Raw genomic sequence first — 18,716 nt, 5'->3', positions numbered from 1 at the left:
TCAACATGACTGTGCCACAGGGTTCCCAAATAGAAACATTCTTTCTGTGTGTGTCTGTGAGGATGTTTCCAGATGAGATTAACGTCTGAGTTAGCAGTGTCGGTAAAGTAGACTGTCTTCTTCAACGTGGGTGTCCATCATCCAATCTGTTGAAAGCTTGAATAGGACAGAAAAGTGGAGGAAGGAGGAATTTACCCCTTTTGGCTTCCTGCCTATCTCCTTGAGCTGGGACACAGGTATTCTCTTCCCCTAACTGGGATTTGCACCATCAGCTCTCTGGTCATTGAACTTGGGTTAGAATTACACCACCGGTTTTCCTGGATCTCTAGACGGCAGATGGCAGATCATGACACTTTTCAGCCCCCCACAATTGTATGAGCCAATTCCTCATAATAAATCTCCCCTCTCCTCCGTGTGTGTGTGTGTGTGTGTGTGCGTGTGTGCATGTGTGTATCCTATTAGTTCTATTTCTTTGAAGAATCCTGACTAATATACCCAGTATGACCCCTATGGGGTTGATGCCACTTTAGCCATTATTGACTACCTCCCTATATGATGATGGGCTTTTTCAATGGCTTTCCTAGTAACATACTCCTCTGGCACAGGGTCAGGACCCTCCTGACATTTAACTCTGAATTCAGTCCTGAAACAATGCAATCTAGCTGTTCCCACTTCCTTATTCTTTATCCCAGCAATACCCTAGAGGGCTGGGACAAGGTCTTTTGTGAAGTAGTAGGAAGCAATATCTAAGAATTTAGAAAAACTGTCCTCTAAATCTGGTTGCTGTAGGATCTTGAACAATTTATTTCTCCTCTAAATCTCTGTTTCCTCATTGTAAGACAAAGACAGTTTTCAAAGCAGGGATTAATTTGATTGTCTAATATTCCTTATCCACCCTAAAAATCTGTGTCTTTTAATAGATGTGATTTGACCATTTGCATTTGATGTAATTCTTGATATGTTTGGATTTAGGTTTACTGTTTTATTATTTGTTTTCTGTTAGTTATTTCTGTTTTTTCATTTCTCTGTTTCCTGACTTCTTTTTTGTTATTTCACGAAGGATTACAATATATGTATTTAACTTTTTACAGTCTACTTAGAATTAATATTTTACCACTTTTGGCTGAATGTAGAAAGCTTACTACCATTTGGATCACTTTAGCTTCCTATTTATGTCATGATTATATACATACATTGAAATCTCATTTGACAATGTTGTAATTTCTGCTTTCAACTCCCACACACTATTTAGGGAAAAAATCTATTATACTTACCCAAACATTTGCCATTTTCATTGTTGCTTCTTTGTATTTATTTATTTATTTTTTTAAACACAAAGTCTCGCTCTGCTCTGTTGCACTGCAGTGGCACATTCTCGGCTCACTGCAACCTCTGCCTACCAGGTTCAAGTGATTCTTGTGCCTCAGCCTTCTGAGTAGTTTGGATTACAGGTGCATGCCACCACGCTTGGCTAATTTTTGTATTTTTAGTAGAGGCGGGGTTTCACCATTTGGCCAGGCTGGTCTTGAACTCCTGACCTCAAGTGATCTGCCTGCCTCAGCCTCCCAAAGTGCTGGGATTACAGGTGTGAGCCATTGTGTCCAGCCTCCTTCATTGTTAATGTTCCATGTTTCCTTCTTATATTAATTCCCTTCATCCTAAAATCCTAAAGAGCTTTTTTTTTTTTTCACAATGCCTTTAGATCAGGTCTGCAAGGCAATAAATGCCCTTAGTTTTTCTTCTTCTCAAAGTGTTTTTATTTCACCTTCATTCCCGAGGGATACGTTCATTGGGTATAGAATTCTGAGTTGAAAGTTATTTTCTTTCAACACTTCCTTCTGAGCTATGTCACTGTTCTTCTATTGATAACGAATCTTTTTTTTCTGGGTGGCTTCTGGGCTTTTTTCTTTGTCTTTAATTTTTAGCAGTTTGATTACAGTGCTTCTGGGTGTGGATTTGTTTGCTTTTATCCTGTTTGGCATTCACTGAGCTTTTTGAATCTTTATGTCCAGTTCTCTTGCCAATTTGGGGACATTTTTATCGATTACTTCTTTAACTTTTTTCTGCACTGCACTTTTTCTTCTATCCTTCTGGGACTCAAATAACAAAAACACTAGTTTTTTTGTTATTTCCCCACAGATGTCTAATGTTCTGTTAAACTTTTCATTTTTTAAGAAAACTTTCTATGGTTCTGATTAAATCATTTTTATTGATTTTTCTTCAAGTTCATTGATTCTTTCCTCTGTCATCTCTATTCTGCTACTGAGCCTGTCAAAGGAGGGTTTTAAATTTTGTTTTGTTTGTTTCTTGTTTTGAGGGGGAAGTTATTACTGTTGTTGTTATTTTTATAATTCTAAAATCTTCATTTGGTACTTCTTGACAGCTTCCATTTATTTTGTGTACTTTCTATTTTTCCTTTGGTTTCAAGAATCAGATAATTCCAACATCTTTGTTACTTCATATTTATATCTGTTGATTGTCTTTCCCCATGAAAGTTGAGATTTTCCTGATAGTTTACATACCAAAATTTTTTTCATTGTATCCTGGACATTTTGAATATTATGTTATGTTATGAGACTCTGGGACTTCTTTAAATCCTATGGAGAATGTTGACATTTTCGTTTAGTAAGAGTCAGCCTGGTTAGGTTCACTCTTAAGTTCGAATCTGCCTCTCCTGTGTGCTGTGGTTGCAATGCTAGCATAGTCTTCAAAGCATTCGCAGTACTATTTGGATCAGTCCAGTTCATGTGCCACCTAGTGGCCAGTCTCAGACATTGGGCAGTGGTGTATCTTCAGTTCTATCTTTTGTACACTAAATAACATCAGATCCACATGTGCAAGCTTGGGAACGAGTCCAAAATTTATAAACAATTATTTGGAATTGATTTCCTGAGTTTTCCTTTTTCTCCATAACTTTCATACTTTCTGGTTCCTTGGGGTCCTTCTATATCAAGGAAGCCAGGGTTTTAGTTATCCCACTCTGAGGTGCACTTCTGGTGTGCCCACATCCAGGTCCAAACAATGAAAGGACAATCCAGATGGACGACAGTGGTGGTCAGCCTCACTCTCTTGGAACCAAGGATCCTCTGCTGAAGATATGAGACAGGAGTCCCCTTTTATCCATGGTTTGGCTCTTGGCAGTTTCAGTTACCTGTGGCCAATCAAAGCCTGAAAATAGGTGTATACGTGACAACAGGATATACTGAGAAAGACAGAAAGAGACTACATTCACATAGCTTTTATTACAGCATATTGTTATAATTGTTCTGCTTTATTATCGTTATTGTTGTTAATCTCTTACTATGCCTAATTCATAAATTAAACTTTATTGTGGGGTTGTGTAAGAAAAAATACATGGGGTTTGGTACTATTGGTAGTTTCAGGCATGCGTTGGTGGTCTTAGAACATATTCCCCACAGATAAGGGGGGACTACTCTAATAGAAACTTTCCCCACCTAGAATTTTGGCTCCACAGGATTGCATAGGAACTAGGCCATGGGAGAACAGAAAAAAGAAAGAAAAATAAAACAGGACATTTCCACACTCTTTCGGAATATTTTAAGTTCCCTTTCTTGCTTCTTGAGCCAGAACTAGGGAGAACTTCTTAGAAGAAGCCAGAGTTAGGCTTCTCCCAAGCTCTCTCTGCCAACTCCTTTGTGATCACTGCTGTGTTGGTTGTGAGCATTAGAGGAAAAAAATGATAAATTCATCAGTATTTGAATTCTGGGCTTCTTCCCCAGTTTGCCTTCTATTTATCAGAGTCCTCAAAGAGCTGCTCTGTTGCATCTGTCTAGTCTTTATTCAGTGCAGAAGACTGAGTCACCAGTGTTTATTCCATCTTATCCAGACAGGACCCCTGATATTCTTTAAAACCCCCCAAATTTAATGACATTTATTTATATTTCAATTATTTTATCTAGTCAGTTTTCCTGAATGAAAATCTCCCCTTTTCCCCCTCAGAGTTCACTTAACAAATTAAAATATAAAACCTAGGATAAATGAACCTAATATATCAAATATTCCAATACGCTACCAATGCTGTGTGATGTGGGGGAAAAGTGAAATATCCCCATCTAATCCAGTTGACACCTGGATATATAAAATGTGATACAGTATAACTTTCAAATTATAGTTTTTGAAATAATATTTTAAAAAGTAAAGAAGATGTGAAAAACTAATTTAACCTTTCTGTTTAATCCACTGATTCATATTTAGAAATTTGGCCAAAAAATGGCCCTCATCATAGAGCCATCCTACAACTTTCGTTACAGCTTAGTGCTTCAAAGGAAATACAAAAGCTGGCTAACCATAGAAAATGCCTACACCAAAAACTGCTGACCCTTTTTTCCCCCAGCAACACCTACAGCATGACAGAGTAAATGGGGCACTGAGGGGAAAGTCCACAGTGACAGCTATTCATGGTCCATTTCCTCTGTAAATACATAAATGCACTTTACGCACGATTATGTCAGAGACACATTGACTACGAAGTCTGCAAAATTTATTAACAGAAGACTCAAAGAGATTGGGAAAAAAATATTACTTCTCTAATACCTACATAATAATCACCAGGTATAAAATGCCAACAAGAACATGTATACACTGTCTTATTTTGACAGATCCTCCAAAGAAAATATTTTATTATAATTGAGGTTCAGTTCCAAATTTTGGTTTTGTGAGACAGTTTTTAAATGTAGCTAAGGTTTTCTGGACTATATGTAGTCTTTTTTTCTTTTTTAAGAATAAATACAACTGATTTCGTTCCTCTCAGAAAGAATCATGTTACATTTGTACCTAGATGTAATTTGATTCTTCAACTTTTCACACTATTTTATTTCTTTGAGCACAGTCCCCTCTCTTGGACTGTAAGCATTTAAAGGCCTGAAATGAAGTCTGTTTAACTAGATTGGCACAAAACTGAATTTAATAAATTTTCATCAAATTGTTTCAAATATGAAAAAGATCAATCATAAAATTTCAGTAAAAGGTGATGGGATTTTTAAGCTAGTCACATCAAAGAAAAATATCCTGGCAAAACATATTTTAAAGAATACTCATGAAAAATTCATTTTCTGCAAAACGATTCTTGCAAATTAACTATACAGTATGTGACATTTACTGTACTACTGCTCGATTTTTTTCTTCCTTTATTCAAAGTGACTTTACTGGTAGAAAAATGTAAGCCAGTATTCTAAGTGGTGCGTGGGTGTGTGGGAGTCTTCTCTGAGCACATATCTTGTTAATATATAACGGAATATGTGCATATATTTTAACACCCACATAATTTTCTAAACTGCTCTGCTGAAGTCTATACAGCTTATTATCAAGTTAAATGGCTTTCTGCCTGGGACTCTAGTTGAAATCATCTCAAGGCTAAATGTCTCCTTCTGTTGGGTTCAGATTTAATAGGAAGAAAATTTTGGTTATCAAAACCTTCACTCTAGATAAATCTTCACCATTCTATGGTTTTTCAGGAAGCAAAGAATATAGAACAGTGTTGCCCAACAAATATGTATTGGGAGCCATGTATATGATTTAAACTTTTCTAGTAAGCACACTGAAAAGGTAAAAGAAATAGGCAAAATTAATTTTTATAATACAAGATATTTAAGCCAATATATCCAAAAATCATAATTTCAATCTGTAACCAATATACAATTGTTAATAAGAAATTTTGCACTTTCTTTTTTTTTTTTTTTTGGGGTGTGTGTGTCTCGCTCTGTCACCCAGGCTGGAGTGCAATGGCACGATCTCAGCTCACTGCGACCTGCACCTCCAGGATTCTAGTGATTCTCCTACCTCAGCCTCTCGAGTAGCTGGGATTACAGGCCCTCACAACCACACCAAGCTAATTTGTTTTGTATTTTTAGTAGAGACGGGGTTTCACCATGTTGGCCAGGCTGGTCTTGAACTCCTGACCTCAGGTGATCCACCAGCCTAGGCCTCCCAAAGTGCTAGGATTACAGGTGTGAGTCACCGCACCTGGCCTGCAGTCTTTTTTATACTATGGTTTCACAACCTGGTGTTTAGTTTTTTATTTACAGCACTTCTCAATTCAGACTAGCCACATTGAAAGAGCACAGTAGCCACATGTGGCTTATTGGAAGCACAGATTTAGAAAAAAACCCAAAATGAAAACACTGGAAGACACCAGTGAAGTACTCATCCAGCTGCTTATATAATATTTGAATATTACCTTAATTTCCATAAATACTTTTCTGTAATCCAAAATGCTTTCCAAGTCTCAGTACGCTACTTGGTTTGACACCACCTTCCTGCTTCTCTGAGCCTCCTGCAAACGCCACTCTCTTTGTTCTAGCCTTACGGCACACCTTTCCATTATTGAATCTCTACTTGGATGTTTCTACTCAGGTCTGCGGCATTCATTGTTTTCCTCTATACAGAATACAATTTATTTTTGCCATTCTCAATTTAAAAATTGTCACAGCTCCCTGGTTTTTTGATTAACCAACTCCTTTCAGGTTTGAAATTAAATTTATCTTTCTCAGGGAAGATGTCTCTGAGTCTCCAAGAGTTTTCTAAGAGCAGAGGCAGTCCATCATATGAACTACTGTCTTCACAATGCTTACATGGTGGTTCTCCTTCTGATAAAGAAACACACACATCGGGTGGTAGAGTCATAAACTAAGTACATAGTATGTGTTCAATTAATATTGTTTGAATGAATGGCTGAGTAAGTGAATGAAAGAAAAATCAGAAAGAAGAAATGAGTTGCTGAAAGTCTCATAGCCAATAAAGGATAGGTCCCGGGCAGTCGTCCAGCTGCGCTCACACAGTTCAAATATTTAAAGAGACTACAGTTAAGAAGAGACTTATCATTACAGGGTGAAGAGCAGAATTACAAATCACCATGCATACATTCAAGAATTTGGGGCCATGGCAAGGTTACCATTTCTAAAGACAACATAAAATACACACTGCTGATGGTTGTGCGTGCTGGCATAGCTGTTCTTGAAAACAATATGTTTGTCAGTAACTGGACGATACGTATGATCCAGTCAGGCCACATTTGGATATACATCTCACATTCTAATAAAAAATGCTTAAAGAAAAAGGCTTGAAGATGTTCATTGCAACGTTGCTTATGTTGGCAAAGAATTGTAGACAGTGTAGGTATCCTTCACTGTGGCAGAGGGAGGGGTGGATGGGTAAAACATGGTGGATACACTCAAGTGAATACTATACCACAGTTAGAAACAATAGACTTGATGTGTAGACAGCAACAATAGTGCATCTCAAAAACATGGCACTAGTAAAAAAGTAAGAAAGAAAACAAGATATTTATGTAAGGCACCATTCATATAATTTAATAATACACATATTCATACAAAGGAAATAAACACATTTTAAATATGTATATATAAATATAAGGATACACAATAAACATCAAAATATCAAAATGATTATGTATAAAGGAAGGATATAACGGTAGTGGGGAATCGGGACAAAATAAAATCAAACAAATGTCTCATACAGGTAACATTAATTGAGAAGTATAATTAACCCTCAGAGATTGAAATCCAAAAATTAAAAGCAAAAGTAAAAAGGAAAAACAACAAAATATTATATACGTTTAAAATATTTACCTTGTCTAACTCATTTATACTCATTAGTTGTACTTCCTTAAAATATTTCTTTAAAATATCTCTTCTATCCTTTCATTCTTCTTTACCTTTTCTCCCCTCCTTCTCCTCTCCTCCCTTCCCTTCTCTTGCTTTCTCTATCCTTCTCTTTTGACCCCCTTCCTTACCCTCTCCAACACTGTCTCTCTCTCCTTTCTCTTTTTATCTTGAACTAATTTACAGTGGTCATTTTAGAGCTAAACAGCTGTTTTAGAAGTTCAAGAGGGCTCTGTATTATATTGCTAATCATCTAGTTTATGAAACAGCTTGTTAAGTGGACACAGCAGCCATGTTGCCTACATAAATAACTTGGCCAAATTATCTCCTAACAGAAACAGTGCTTATGCCTCCCTTAGCTATGCGCCCTTCTTAACTCAACTCTCAGTGCTGCATTATCAATGTATTTTTTTCAAGTGTTTACTTAATCTTATTTTGTTAGATGCTCTGGACAAAATCATTTTTTGAATATACTTAGATAGTCCCCCTCCTAGGTGATGCACACAGGAAGATTGATAAAATAATATAATTACCAAATTCTGGAAGATGCTATATTAATGAAGAGGCACATGGCAAGGAATTTCATCATAAACTAAGTTTTATAGAGTTGGTTACATAATACTCTGCTACAATTAGTTTGATGTTAGCCTTCTTGACCATGTATATATTTTTTCACATACTAAGCCCAATTCACTGCCGGAGATCAAAGAACAAGGAGCTAAAAACAAATCACCAACACCAATTCGATTCTTTAGAAGAGTGCCATTTACATAGCATGCTCTCAAGATGGAGGGAGGATACACGAGACGTTTTTCTACTGCTAAGAAAATTACGTGGTAGAAGCTAAGCACACAATCTAAAAAAAAAATAAAATATAAACAAAGATAAAGAAGGAAGCTAGCTGTGGCACAAATATTTTGATTTATGAGTCCAAAATAGGCACATATCCTACATTACTCAGAGGATTAGGGAGTGTTTCATGGGAGACTAGCATTTCAATCAGAAAAACAGTATTGGAAAGAAGACACCTGGGACAACATCCATAGCAGCCAGAGGCCAAGATGTATGTGGCATGTATGAAAAATACCAGAGACTTTATTATGACTGAGAGAATGTGTGAGAAGGACAGTACTGAAGCTGCAGTGATAGGCTAGAGACAAATCTTGCAAAGATATTAATGACAATTTAAAACATGGATCCATGTTAGATTTAAAATACATAATGATAGGTTTACAAAAGTAACTGGGATATAGGAGTGTCATTTCATTTATAACTGATTGACACATCTCACCAAAGCATTGGTTAAAAAAGGGACACTGGAAATTGTAAGTGCATAAACCACGTTTTTAAAAAGTAATGATGTTGACACCACAGTAAACCACTTTAAATCATTATATTATTTATACAGTATTTTTAATTTGATGAAAGACTTCTCTAGGTGGGATTCTATAGCTGAGGATTATTGCTACACCCTTGATTCCCTTTTGATGGGAAAAAGGAATTATCAACACCCTTCTTTTCTGTCAGCCCAGTTGTCTGAAGCTCCCTATTCTGTACCCCGTTTATGTTCATTGTTCTTGAGAGATTTCTTGTTCATTTCTTGTTCACTTTCTCATTGAACTGTCCATTTAATGTTTTTACATTCAGTGCCCTTGAGATTGGTTTAAATAACATTTTCATTTATCTAAATTAAGATTTGAGAGAACTAAAATGCCTTAGTATGTGGCATTAATTCAGGTAAACTGACATTGCCACTTACGCTTTGGATAAATTTCATCTTGTAATTCTGGCTATTTTAGGGAACATTTGTTTCTAGTATCCATGGTGAAAATTCAGAAATCTGCTTCCTGGTGAAGTCTGGTCTTTGGTTATGGCTAAATTGAAAGATCAGTACAGATTAGTCCAATTTGACTGAGAAAGCATATTATATTAGTATACAGTTCATATAATTGTTTTTCTGTAACCACAATGTCTCACTTATTATTGATGCTTATTATATTGATAAAAATGTGAAATATTGACATCGATCTTCCTCTCTGATTACTAAATCTTGTCAATTATAATCAATGCTTAACTAAAATCTCTTCTGGCCTGAGAAATTAAATTCCATCAAAATATTTTAGAATCAGAATCTCCCTAAAACATACATTCTATTAATTTCATGACTTTGATACACTGAAGCTTCAATGAAACTTGAACGCAAGCAAGTAATCTTCGTGATTTTTTTTTCTCTGAGTCAACTTGGCTAAGTGGGAAGTTCATTCTCTCAGATTCTTTTTCTGGATGCTTCTAACTCAGGGTTGACGAAAATAAGTATTTGCCTGAGGCGTAGGAGGAAGAAGTGAAGCGAGAGTTCCTCCTTCTTGAAGGTCGTAACAGTCAAAACATTGAAAGATGAACCTAGAGGTACTGGTGGGTTCGGCATGTCCTCACCGCTCATTTATGTCTAGTTCTTTCTGACTTCTGGCGCTACTAACCAACTGCAACGCTGGGCTGACCATGAGACGCAGAGCTGACAGCTTTCCATAGAGTTTCCTGACAGCTCCACATTGTGGTCACACACCAACAGATAGACATGCCTGGCTTCCCAGATTCCCCTTGCCAGGGCTTCAGACTGGCAGCTTAGCAACCTGGCTCGAATCTTCCAGCTCCTCCATTCTAAACCTTAATCTTCGTCTCTTCTCACAGTTGAGTAACAGCCAACTCTGATAGTAAAGTCCTCATTCCATAATACTCGTAGTGGTTCTTCTTTCCTGACTGAGCTTTGACTGCCACAGTCCTTGCAGGTAATGTCATGGTAGCTATTGGTAAAGAAAAGGAAGTAGTTTTTCTTCTGAGCAATTGCCGTTTAACTAATGGAGTCTCCCTTTGACTCATGATCCTCTTTATTGTTTTGGCTCCAGAAGAAACTTTTTTTCTGTTCTGTGAAATCTTACTTCCTCTATGTTCTCTGTGAAGCAGAAATAATTACACAGTCATATGAAATGTTCTGGAAGTTTTCTTCAGTAACTAGCATTAAAATGTTTAAAAGTAGACACTAATAATATATATCAAATGATCAGAATTAGTCTTTAGTCATTAAAACAATTTTCCAGCTCATATCCAAATATGTTTATTAAAAGGATTTGTATTCACATGTGTGTATAGTTGAAATAAATATCTGAAGAAAATAAATGTGAAACGAATATTAAAATAATTTTAAGCACTATTTTTTTCCTTCTAGTAAATTGTGTCAATGTTTAGGCAAAGAAAATAACTGATGGGGGAAGATTTTTATGAATAGAGAGAGTATTCAATTCATGTATAAGACTGGTCTTTATCTTGATGTAAAATTTGACCTAGAACATTGTTATGATTTGTGAAGAGAATAGGTTAAAAAGTAAAAATCCACTAAAAAAGAAGGAAGGCAAGAAGACAGTTGATACTGAACTCTGCACTTTCATTTGTATCATTTCAATGGAATATGGGAACAGTAACAGTAACCACAGTATCTGTCACTTGGATGTAATCAACCTGAAGTGAAGAAATGTAAGGAAATGATAACATTCTGTTCAAATGGCCATCATGATTATGACGATCTCCCTTTCATTTTTTCTCTCTTTTTCTATCTCATACTCATAGGCGTTTCTTGCTGATATGAGCTAATTAGATAAAATAGTCCATAGAACTCTGCCAATGAGACATGCTGTGTTCCCAGGCAACGGATGTTTATTTTAAATATGGTCTTGCAGAAGCTATGGTTTGTCATTGTTGTGTAAGTCAGAAGTGACATTTAACAATGGAGACCTTAAGGGAGTTGGATCTTTCAGCAGCCTGATCAATTCAATTCAGCAAACAGTAACTGAACACCTACATTGTACTTTCATGCTTATTCACTTGTTGGGAAGTATAAGCCAGGCCCTTAGTTTAGAACAGAAAATCAGAGATACATCCAGCCTGTACAAGCCTTCCTCTCAGTTTCCACTACTGCAGGGATGACAATACCAAATATTATTTTAACACATAATAGAATATATATTAAATGCTATAATAAAGATTTAAACTAAATGTTAGAAGAGGAGGTTATAACTGAGTGGAGGAAACCAGCACCTCAGTCAGAATAAATGGCCTGAGCAGAGGTAGAAGGTTATGAAGATATACTCAAGGCCACCTGAAATGTTGTTAGGTGTTGCTGGCTAGTGAATAGCCCAAGACCATCTATTATGATGCTGTTTTCCAAAGTTCAGTGATTTAATAATGACATTCACATTTTTCTGTATCCAAAGATTTGCCAAATATAACATTATTTATTTTTTATTTAATTAATTTTACATTGATTTTACTTTTTAGCTAAAATTCTTCTAAGCATCTAAGTTTGATATACTAGTATTATTTTTCCTAATGAATATTAAATATATTTAAAATTACTGATATTAAGAATTCTACTCATCTAAAATAATATTGTGCATTAATAATGGTCTGTTACTATACATTGAGAAATTTATCAAGGACTTTGAATCCATAGTATAGACTGTACTTTGTGCTTACGTACAAAAATGTTAAAAATTGTTGCAATGCTCAGAACTGTGCATGGTGATTTAATACTAGAAGCACTAATATTAAAAGGTGGAGAGACAAAATTAGGTAAGGCAAAGACTGATCTCCATTCCAGCTTCATTCTTTAAGAGCCATCTCAAACGTTACCTTAAATGAAACCTGCCCTACCTTGACCAGGAGCTAGTAAATTACTTGTCTATGCTGCATTCTAAGTATATTTATCTATACTGCATTGAATCTAGTACTTTACATGTATATCCTCCTCCTCTGTGGATTTGTCGAGATGTGTCTTCTTCATAAGTAAATTCCCAGAGCCCCAGAGTATATGGAAAATATAAAGGGCTAGCGTTTTTGTAAATGATAGAAATAGGATAATAAGGAGATGAGATAAAATCTGCTTAATAACCTAAAAATTAGCTAATTAGAGTCTACAATAAGAGGATATGAATTCCAGAGATTCTTAAGAGATAGAATTATAATATCTGGGTGAATAGAGATATCCCAGATCAAAAATGTTTCTGAAATTTCAATCTGTTTGAAGAACATAACAGAAGGAACAATATGTCAAGTAAAAATCCAGCGACTAGGAAATGGTGGTTTCTGAGCCAATTACTCTGTTTCACTTCACTCCTCCAAGATAAAACTGTAAAACATGTTTATACATTTGTGAGATCAATTATACACAAGGCTTAATACACCAGGTTGCTGATTGAATGTGTGAATGGTTGACTACTGAAATGTAGCTGTGTTGTAGTGGAAGAACAAATAAACATTTTCCAATTTTGGCTCTGTCACTTGTCACCGTTTATCCATAAACTGGCCATTCCATCTCAGCAAATTGGAGTTCCTCCATTAAGCCAATGGCTGTGATCATAATTTCCCTGCCTTTTTTCATGTTGCAATGGTTGTGAATGTGGTTTTAGAATTGCTTCTGCTCTCGTATCCACAACAATTGTGTTCTGTATAGAACAATCAAAGTGTGATCTTTAAAAAACATAAACAAATGATGTTATTTTCCTTCTGAAGAGTTTCAATAATTTCCTATCTTACATAGTTTAAAATCTGTACAGCTTACTAGGAGCATAGGCAGAGTCCTTGCACATCATGTGTTCCTTATTTGTTCAGAACTGTATTACTACCACAAGTACAGTGCCTGGCCCATAGTACATGCCAATAAGTCTTGTTGTTTGTTTGTTTGTTTCAGACAGAGTCTTGTTCTGTTACCCAGGCTGAAGTGCAGTGGTATGATCTCAGCTCACTGCAACCTTGAACTCCTGAACAGCAATCCTCTTTCCTCAGCCTCACAAGTAACTAGGACTACAGGTGTGCATCATCACACCCAGCTGATTTTTAAATCGTTTGTAGAGACAGGGTCTTGCTACGTTGTCCAGCCTAGTCTGGCCTCCAGCAATTCTCCTGCCTTTGACTCCCAAAGTGCTGGGACTATAAGCATACACCACCACACCCAGTCAAGGTAATAAGTATTTAATAAATGTATGAATGCGTGATAGAATGAGTAAGTAAATGAATGAGTTGACTGTGACTTCCTGGCTAAGTAGTTGGCAGATTCAAAGCTGGAAGATGGGTTTCCTGATCCCAGGACCCTTTATTTCCACTGTCCCCAAATTGTTGTAATTCACAAAATTCTCTTCTTTTACCTCTGTGGGACCTAGGCCTTAATTTTTGAGGTGTTTGCCTACAGTTAGAGGTGAGATCTCTGGCTAAGAATCATGCTACAACACAAAACTTACCATTCACTTTAGCCGGCAAGCACAGCTTTTTGATCTCATATGTTTACCATCTGATCTTTGTAGTACACACAGACTCTTCACATATGTATTTTCATTTTGTAATATGGCAATATGCATTTATCTGCTTCTTATTCATACATTTGACAAGATAGATACTTCCATTTTAAATTTATTTTGGCAAAGTGTAATATTATTCCAGCATTTTATAAATGATAAAGAACAAGGTTAAAGAAGGATTGGATTCATCATGTAAAGGTTAAATAATTCTAATTTTAAGGAATGAATATCAATTGCTCTTTTAAGATGTGTTTGAAGAATTCTTGTCATTGAGGGAAGCATTTTTCAAGTCTGTTGAAATCCGTTCAAGTGTAAGGAGAGGGCTGAAGAATGCATGGTAAACAGATGACTTTTGCATATTAAGGTATTTTGAATTGTACTCTTCTTGCCATAGGAATAATGGGTATCTTTAAAATCGGGTATTCTTGCAAAATTGTAGCATAGCTTTGTGGTAGCTTTAAACACTCAGAAAAAGGATTCTTGAAAAACGAATGAAATTCTGGCAAAAACAAACAAACAACAAAAAAACAAAACCACCTAAATACTAAGTAGTTTAGATTATTTGAATGAAATATTTTCCCATGCTGTCAAATTTACATCCAATTTTCTATGTTTTATTCAAAGAGAGTTCTGTCATACAAAGATTAGAGGTTCACCAAAAACGGCTACTACATCTTATTGTTTTCTAAACCTGACTTCTTCATATATAGGTAAACAATTTTAGATAAATTTAACTTTCCATGTATTTGTTTCACCATTTGTAAACTGAAAGAATTGGACTTAGATGATCTTTAGATTCTGAACTTCAGAGACTTTGTGTATAATAGCTAAAGTAGAGATAAATTCAATATTTGCAGGATGGTTTGATTTGTAATATCTAGATAGATACACATAAATAGATTGAAACAGATAAAATACTTGGTACACCTGGAAACACTATATATATGAAAATTAATAGATGATAAAATGAATATGCAGATTGGTAAAAACAATAAATATGTACTTGAACACTTAAAGAGAAAAACTCTAAATAAAGTCATAGAGGGGATGGTAGAGATGGCCACAGAAAATGACCACGGAGAGTATTATGAAGATTGCAAGATTAGACATTGATGATGTAAATTACTCCCTTTCTAGATAAAATAATCCATAGATGTTTATGAATCATATTTGTATGATTATTGCTGTTACTATTATTTTGACACATTATTTATTATTATTGTTGTCATTATTATTACCATTAAGATAGCAGGCGTAAAACTGTACGCAGAATGGCTGCAGTGTGGAGAAGATGAGGATCTCCAGGAAGAAAAAAAGAGGTTGCTCTCACTAGAACATGCCTTTTAATTGCCAAGGAATTAATAATGCACCTTTTTTAAGCTTCAGTTGCGCTCAACTCAAAAATCTACTCTACAGGATAATTGGCCTTTCCTTGCCTATCTCTTTGCTTCTTGCAAGGAGTAATAAAATTAAACATACTCTCAATGAGTAGGAAGTTTCTAAGATGCTTAGCCTTGATATGTAATTTTCAAATATGTGCTTTTTTAGAGATTTTTCTATTTTTAGCTTAATCTCTTTCTGCTGCTGCTTCCATTGAGTCTTTTCATCAGACAACTCCCTTCTTCCCTTTCGGAATATAAGTTCCTTTAAGGTTAGAGGTAATATTCTGTTCACTTCATCCTCTTATTTCCAAACATGATTCCTGGCATACAAAGGGTGCTTAGTGAATTTTCTGAATGAGCCACAGTATGCAAATTATAATGAAATTCATACCCCTAATGTTGTACACACCTAAATTTGATTTACAGCATAATTTACTGTGGTAGTCTGTGTACAGACAGGTTTTGCTGTTCATTAAAATAAGATCACAACCTCCTTCCTATACTCTCAATATAATAATTTTAAAACTGTACTAAATGTTAGAGTACTTAAGATTATTGATGTATTCAGAGACAGAGTAGTACATGATTCAGTACCAACAGGGCATCATCACAAATTTAGAATTGTGCTCACATTTATGGAAAGATGGTTTGCATTCAACTGAGAATAAGTATTAATTTATTTGATAAATATTTATGGAGCACCTGCTATTAGTAATTTTTCTAAGCATGTGGGATACAAAACTTTCTCTATGAAGTTTATCATTCAGGGAAGAGAAACAAACAGTAAATAATTAAAATGACAAATAGGTCAACTGTGAAGTATGCTATAAAGTGCTACGTGGGAAATACAGAGATGGGGCAGTAGGATGTGGTATGTGAGTTGAGGAATATTTTGTAGGCAGTTTGTAGTTTTAAATAAGGGGAGTTAGTGTAGGTATCATTGGTAGGACGATATATGAGCTAAGACTTGAAGGAGAGGTGAGATCTAGCTAAGAGGACATCTAGAGGAAGAGTCTTCCTTGCAGAAAAAAAACAGTATGTCTGGAAAAAAATATAGAACTGCAAGAAGCCAATTATGGCTGATGATGGGTCAGATGGAAAGGGAAGAATGTTAGTAGAAAAATACATCAGATTGGAAGCACAGTATCCAATGAATATTGAAGGAATTTGTAAAAGTTTAGTTCTATTATAAGTAAAGTGGCTCAGCACTACAGGATTTTAAACAGAGGAGTGACAAAGCGGACATATTTTCAAAGGATCATTCTGGTTGATATGTTAAAGAGAGGGCAGAGCTAGGAACATGGACACCTACTAAAATCTGTTTTACATTAAAGTGGGAAATGATGATGACTTTAGCCAGCATGGTAGTAATTGAGATGGAAAGTAGTTGGATTCTGGATGAATTTGAACGTAAATTCAACAGACTTTGCTGATGTATTAGAAATAGCTGTATAATAGAGCGAGAGAGAGAAGTCAGGGATAAATATTTTCCACCTGAAAATTATCAAGCATTGTCTGTGGGTCATAGTAGCTATTGATAAAATGTAGCTTGAATAACATAAGTAATACATAACTGTGATTTAATGTATGTTTTATTTGGAAAGGCATAGATGCTGATATTCCAAACTCAAGAGAAGCAGACTTAATTAGCCATAATATGAAGTAAAGAGCTGAGCCAAAAGTAGGTCCTAGATAAATACAGGCACACCTTATTTTATTGTGCTTCACTCTTCTGCACCTCACAGATACTGCATTTTTACAAATTGAAGGTTTGTAGCAATCTTGCTTTGGGCAAGCCTATGGGCACTATTTTTCCACCAACGTATGGTCACTTCATGTCTCTGGGTCAGGTTTCAATAATTCTCCCAAATTTTCAAACTTTCTCATTATTATTTTATCTGTTATGGTTATCGGTGACCAATGATCTTTGATGTTACTGTTGTAATTGTTTTGGGGAGCCACAAATCACACCCATACACTACTGTAAACAAAGTAGCCAAAAATAAGTGGCTACCTCCTTTTTTTTCTATTCTTTTATACATACGTATTTGCCCTTTCTCCCTTGTCACTTGACACTCTTCTTTTCCGTGACTAACTATATACTTGCTTAAGATTTCCAGGAACTAATATTGAAACCATTCAGCTATGAAGGCGAGATTTCAGGATACTTTTTTTCCAGAGAAGGGATCAGCAAGCAGTTAATCCACAACCCAGTCATGGTGAAGCTGACACCAGCCAGGCTTCTAGATGGTCCTTTACTCATGATAGCCATTGGAATAAGACGTGTAGACCTGTGCCTTGCACCACTCCTGCATTTTAGTTTCCATGGTTCCTTTCTCCTTGAAATCCCTTTGGTCAGCCTGAAAATTTTGAGATGTTTTTGTGACACCATCTCCTCAGGTTGTGTCCACCATCTCCTCAGGCTGTCAGCTTTTGAATAAACCTGTATTTTCTTCCACCAACTCTTGTACATGTCTCTCACTTTAAATCGAAAGCCACACATAACTAAGCTTAGTGAGGAAGGCATGTCAAAAGCTGAGAGAGGCCAAAAGCTAGGCATTTTCTGCCAAACAGTTAGCTAAGTTGTGAATGTAAAGAAAAAGTTTTTGAAGGAAATTAAAAGTGCTAGTCCAGTGAACACACAAATAATAAGAAAGCGAAACTATGGTTGGTATGGAGAAGGTTATAGTAGCTTTGATAAATGATGAAAACAGTTATAACATGTACTTAAGCTAAAGTCTAATCCAGAGCAAGGCAGGCCTTAACTCTCTTCAATTCCATGAAGGCTGAGAGGGTTGAGGAAGCTGCAGAAGAAAAGTTGGAAGCTAGCAGAGGTTAGTTCATGGGGTTTAAGGAAAAAAGTCATCCCCATAACATAAGAGAATGAAGTGGAGCCACAAGTACTGATATGGAAGCTGCATCAAATTATCCAGAAGATTTAGCTAAGACAATTGATAAAGATGGCTACAATAAACAACAAATTTTCAATGTAGATCAAACATCCTTATATTGGGAAAAGATTCCATCTAGGACTTTCATAACTAGAGAAAAGTCAATGCCTGGCTTCAAAGCTTCAGAGGAGAGGCTGATTCTCATTAGGAAATAATGCAGCTGGTGACTTTAAGTGGAAGCCCATGCTCATTTACCATTCCCAAAATCCTAGGGCCCTAAGGAATTATGCTAGGTCTATTCTTCCTATGCTCTAGAAAAGGAACAACAAAGCCTAGATGACAGCACATTTATTTGCAGCATAGTTTACTAAATACTTTAAGCCTAATGTTGAGACCTACTGCTCAGAAAAAAAAAGGCTTTCAAAATATTACCATTCATTGAGAATGCACCTCATTGCC

The 18,716-nt window shown here is 35.8% G+C and overlaps 1 long non-coding RNA gene across 1 annotated transcript; it reads left to right on the top strand.

Annotated features, from left to right (window-relative positions):
• Positions 1-8,687: 8,687 nt before the first annotated feature.
• Positions 8,688-18,172, top strand: LOC124906318 (uncharacterized). The gene is made up of 3 exons (XR_007096218.1): positions 8,688-10,426; positions 13,381-14,694; positions 15,230-18,172. It is a non-coding gene; the product is annotated as an uncharacterized LOC124906318 (long non-coding RNA).
• The last annotated feature ends 544 nt before the right edge of the window (positions 18,173-18,716 follow it).

The sequence above is a fragment of the Homo sapiens genome, chromosome 3 (genome assembly GCF_000001405.40).
Source record: "Homo sapiens chromosome 3, GRCh38.p14 Primary Assembly".
In the NCBI taxonomy this organism is placed as follows: Eukaryota; Metazoa; Chordata; class Mammalia; order Primates; family Hominidae; genus Homo; species Homo sapiens.
This window is presented reverse-complemented; position numbering and strand designations above follow the sequence as displayed.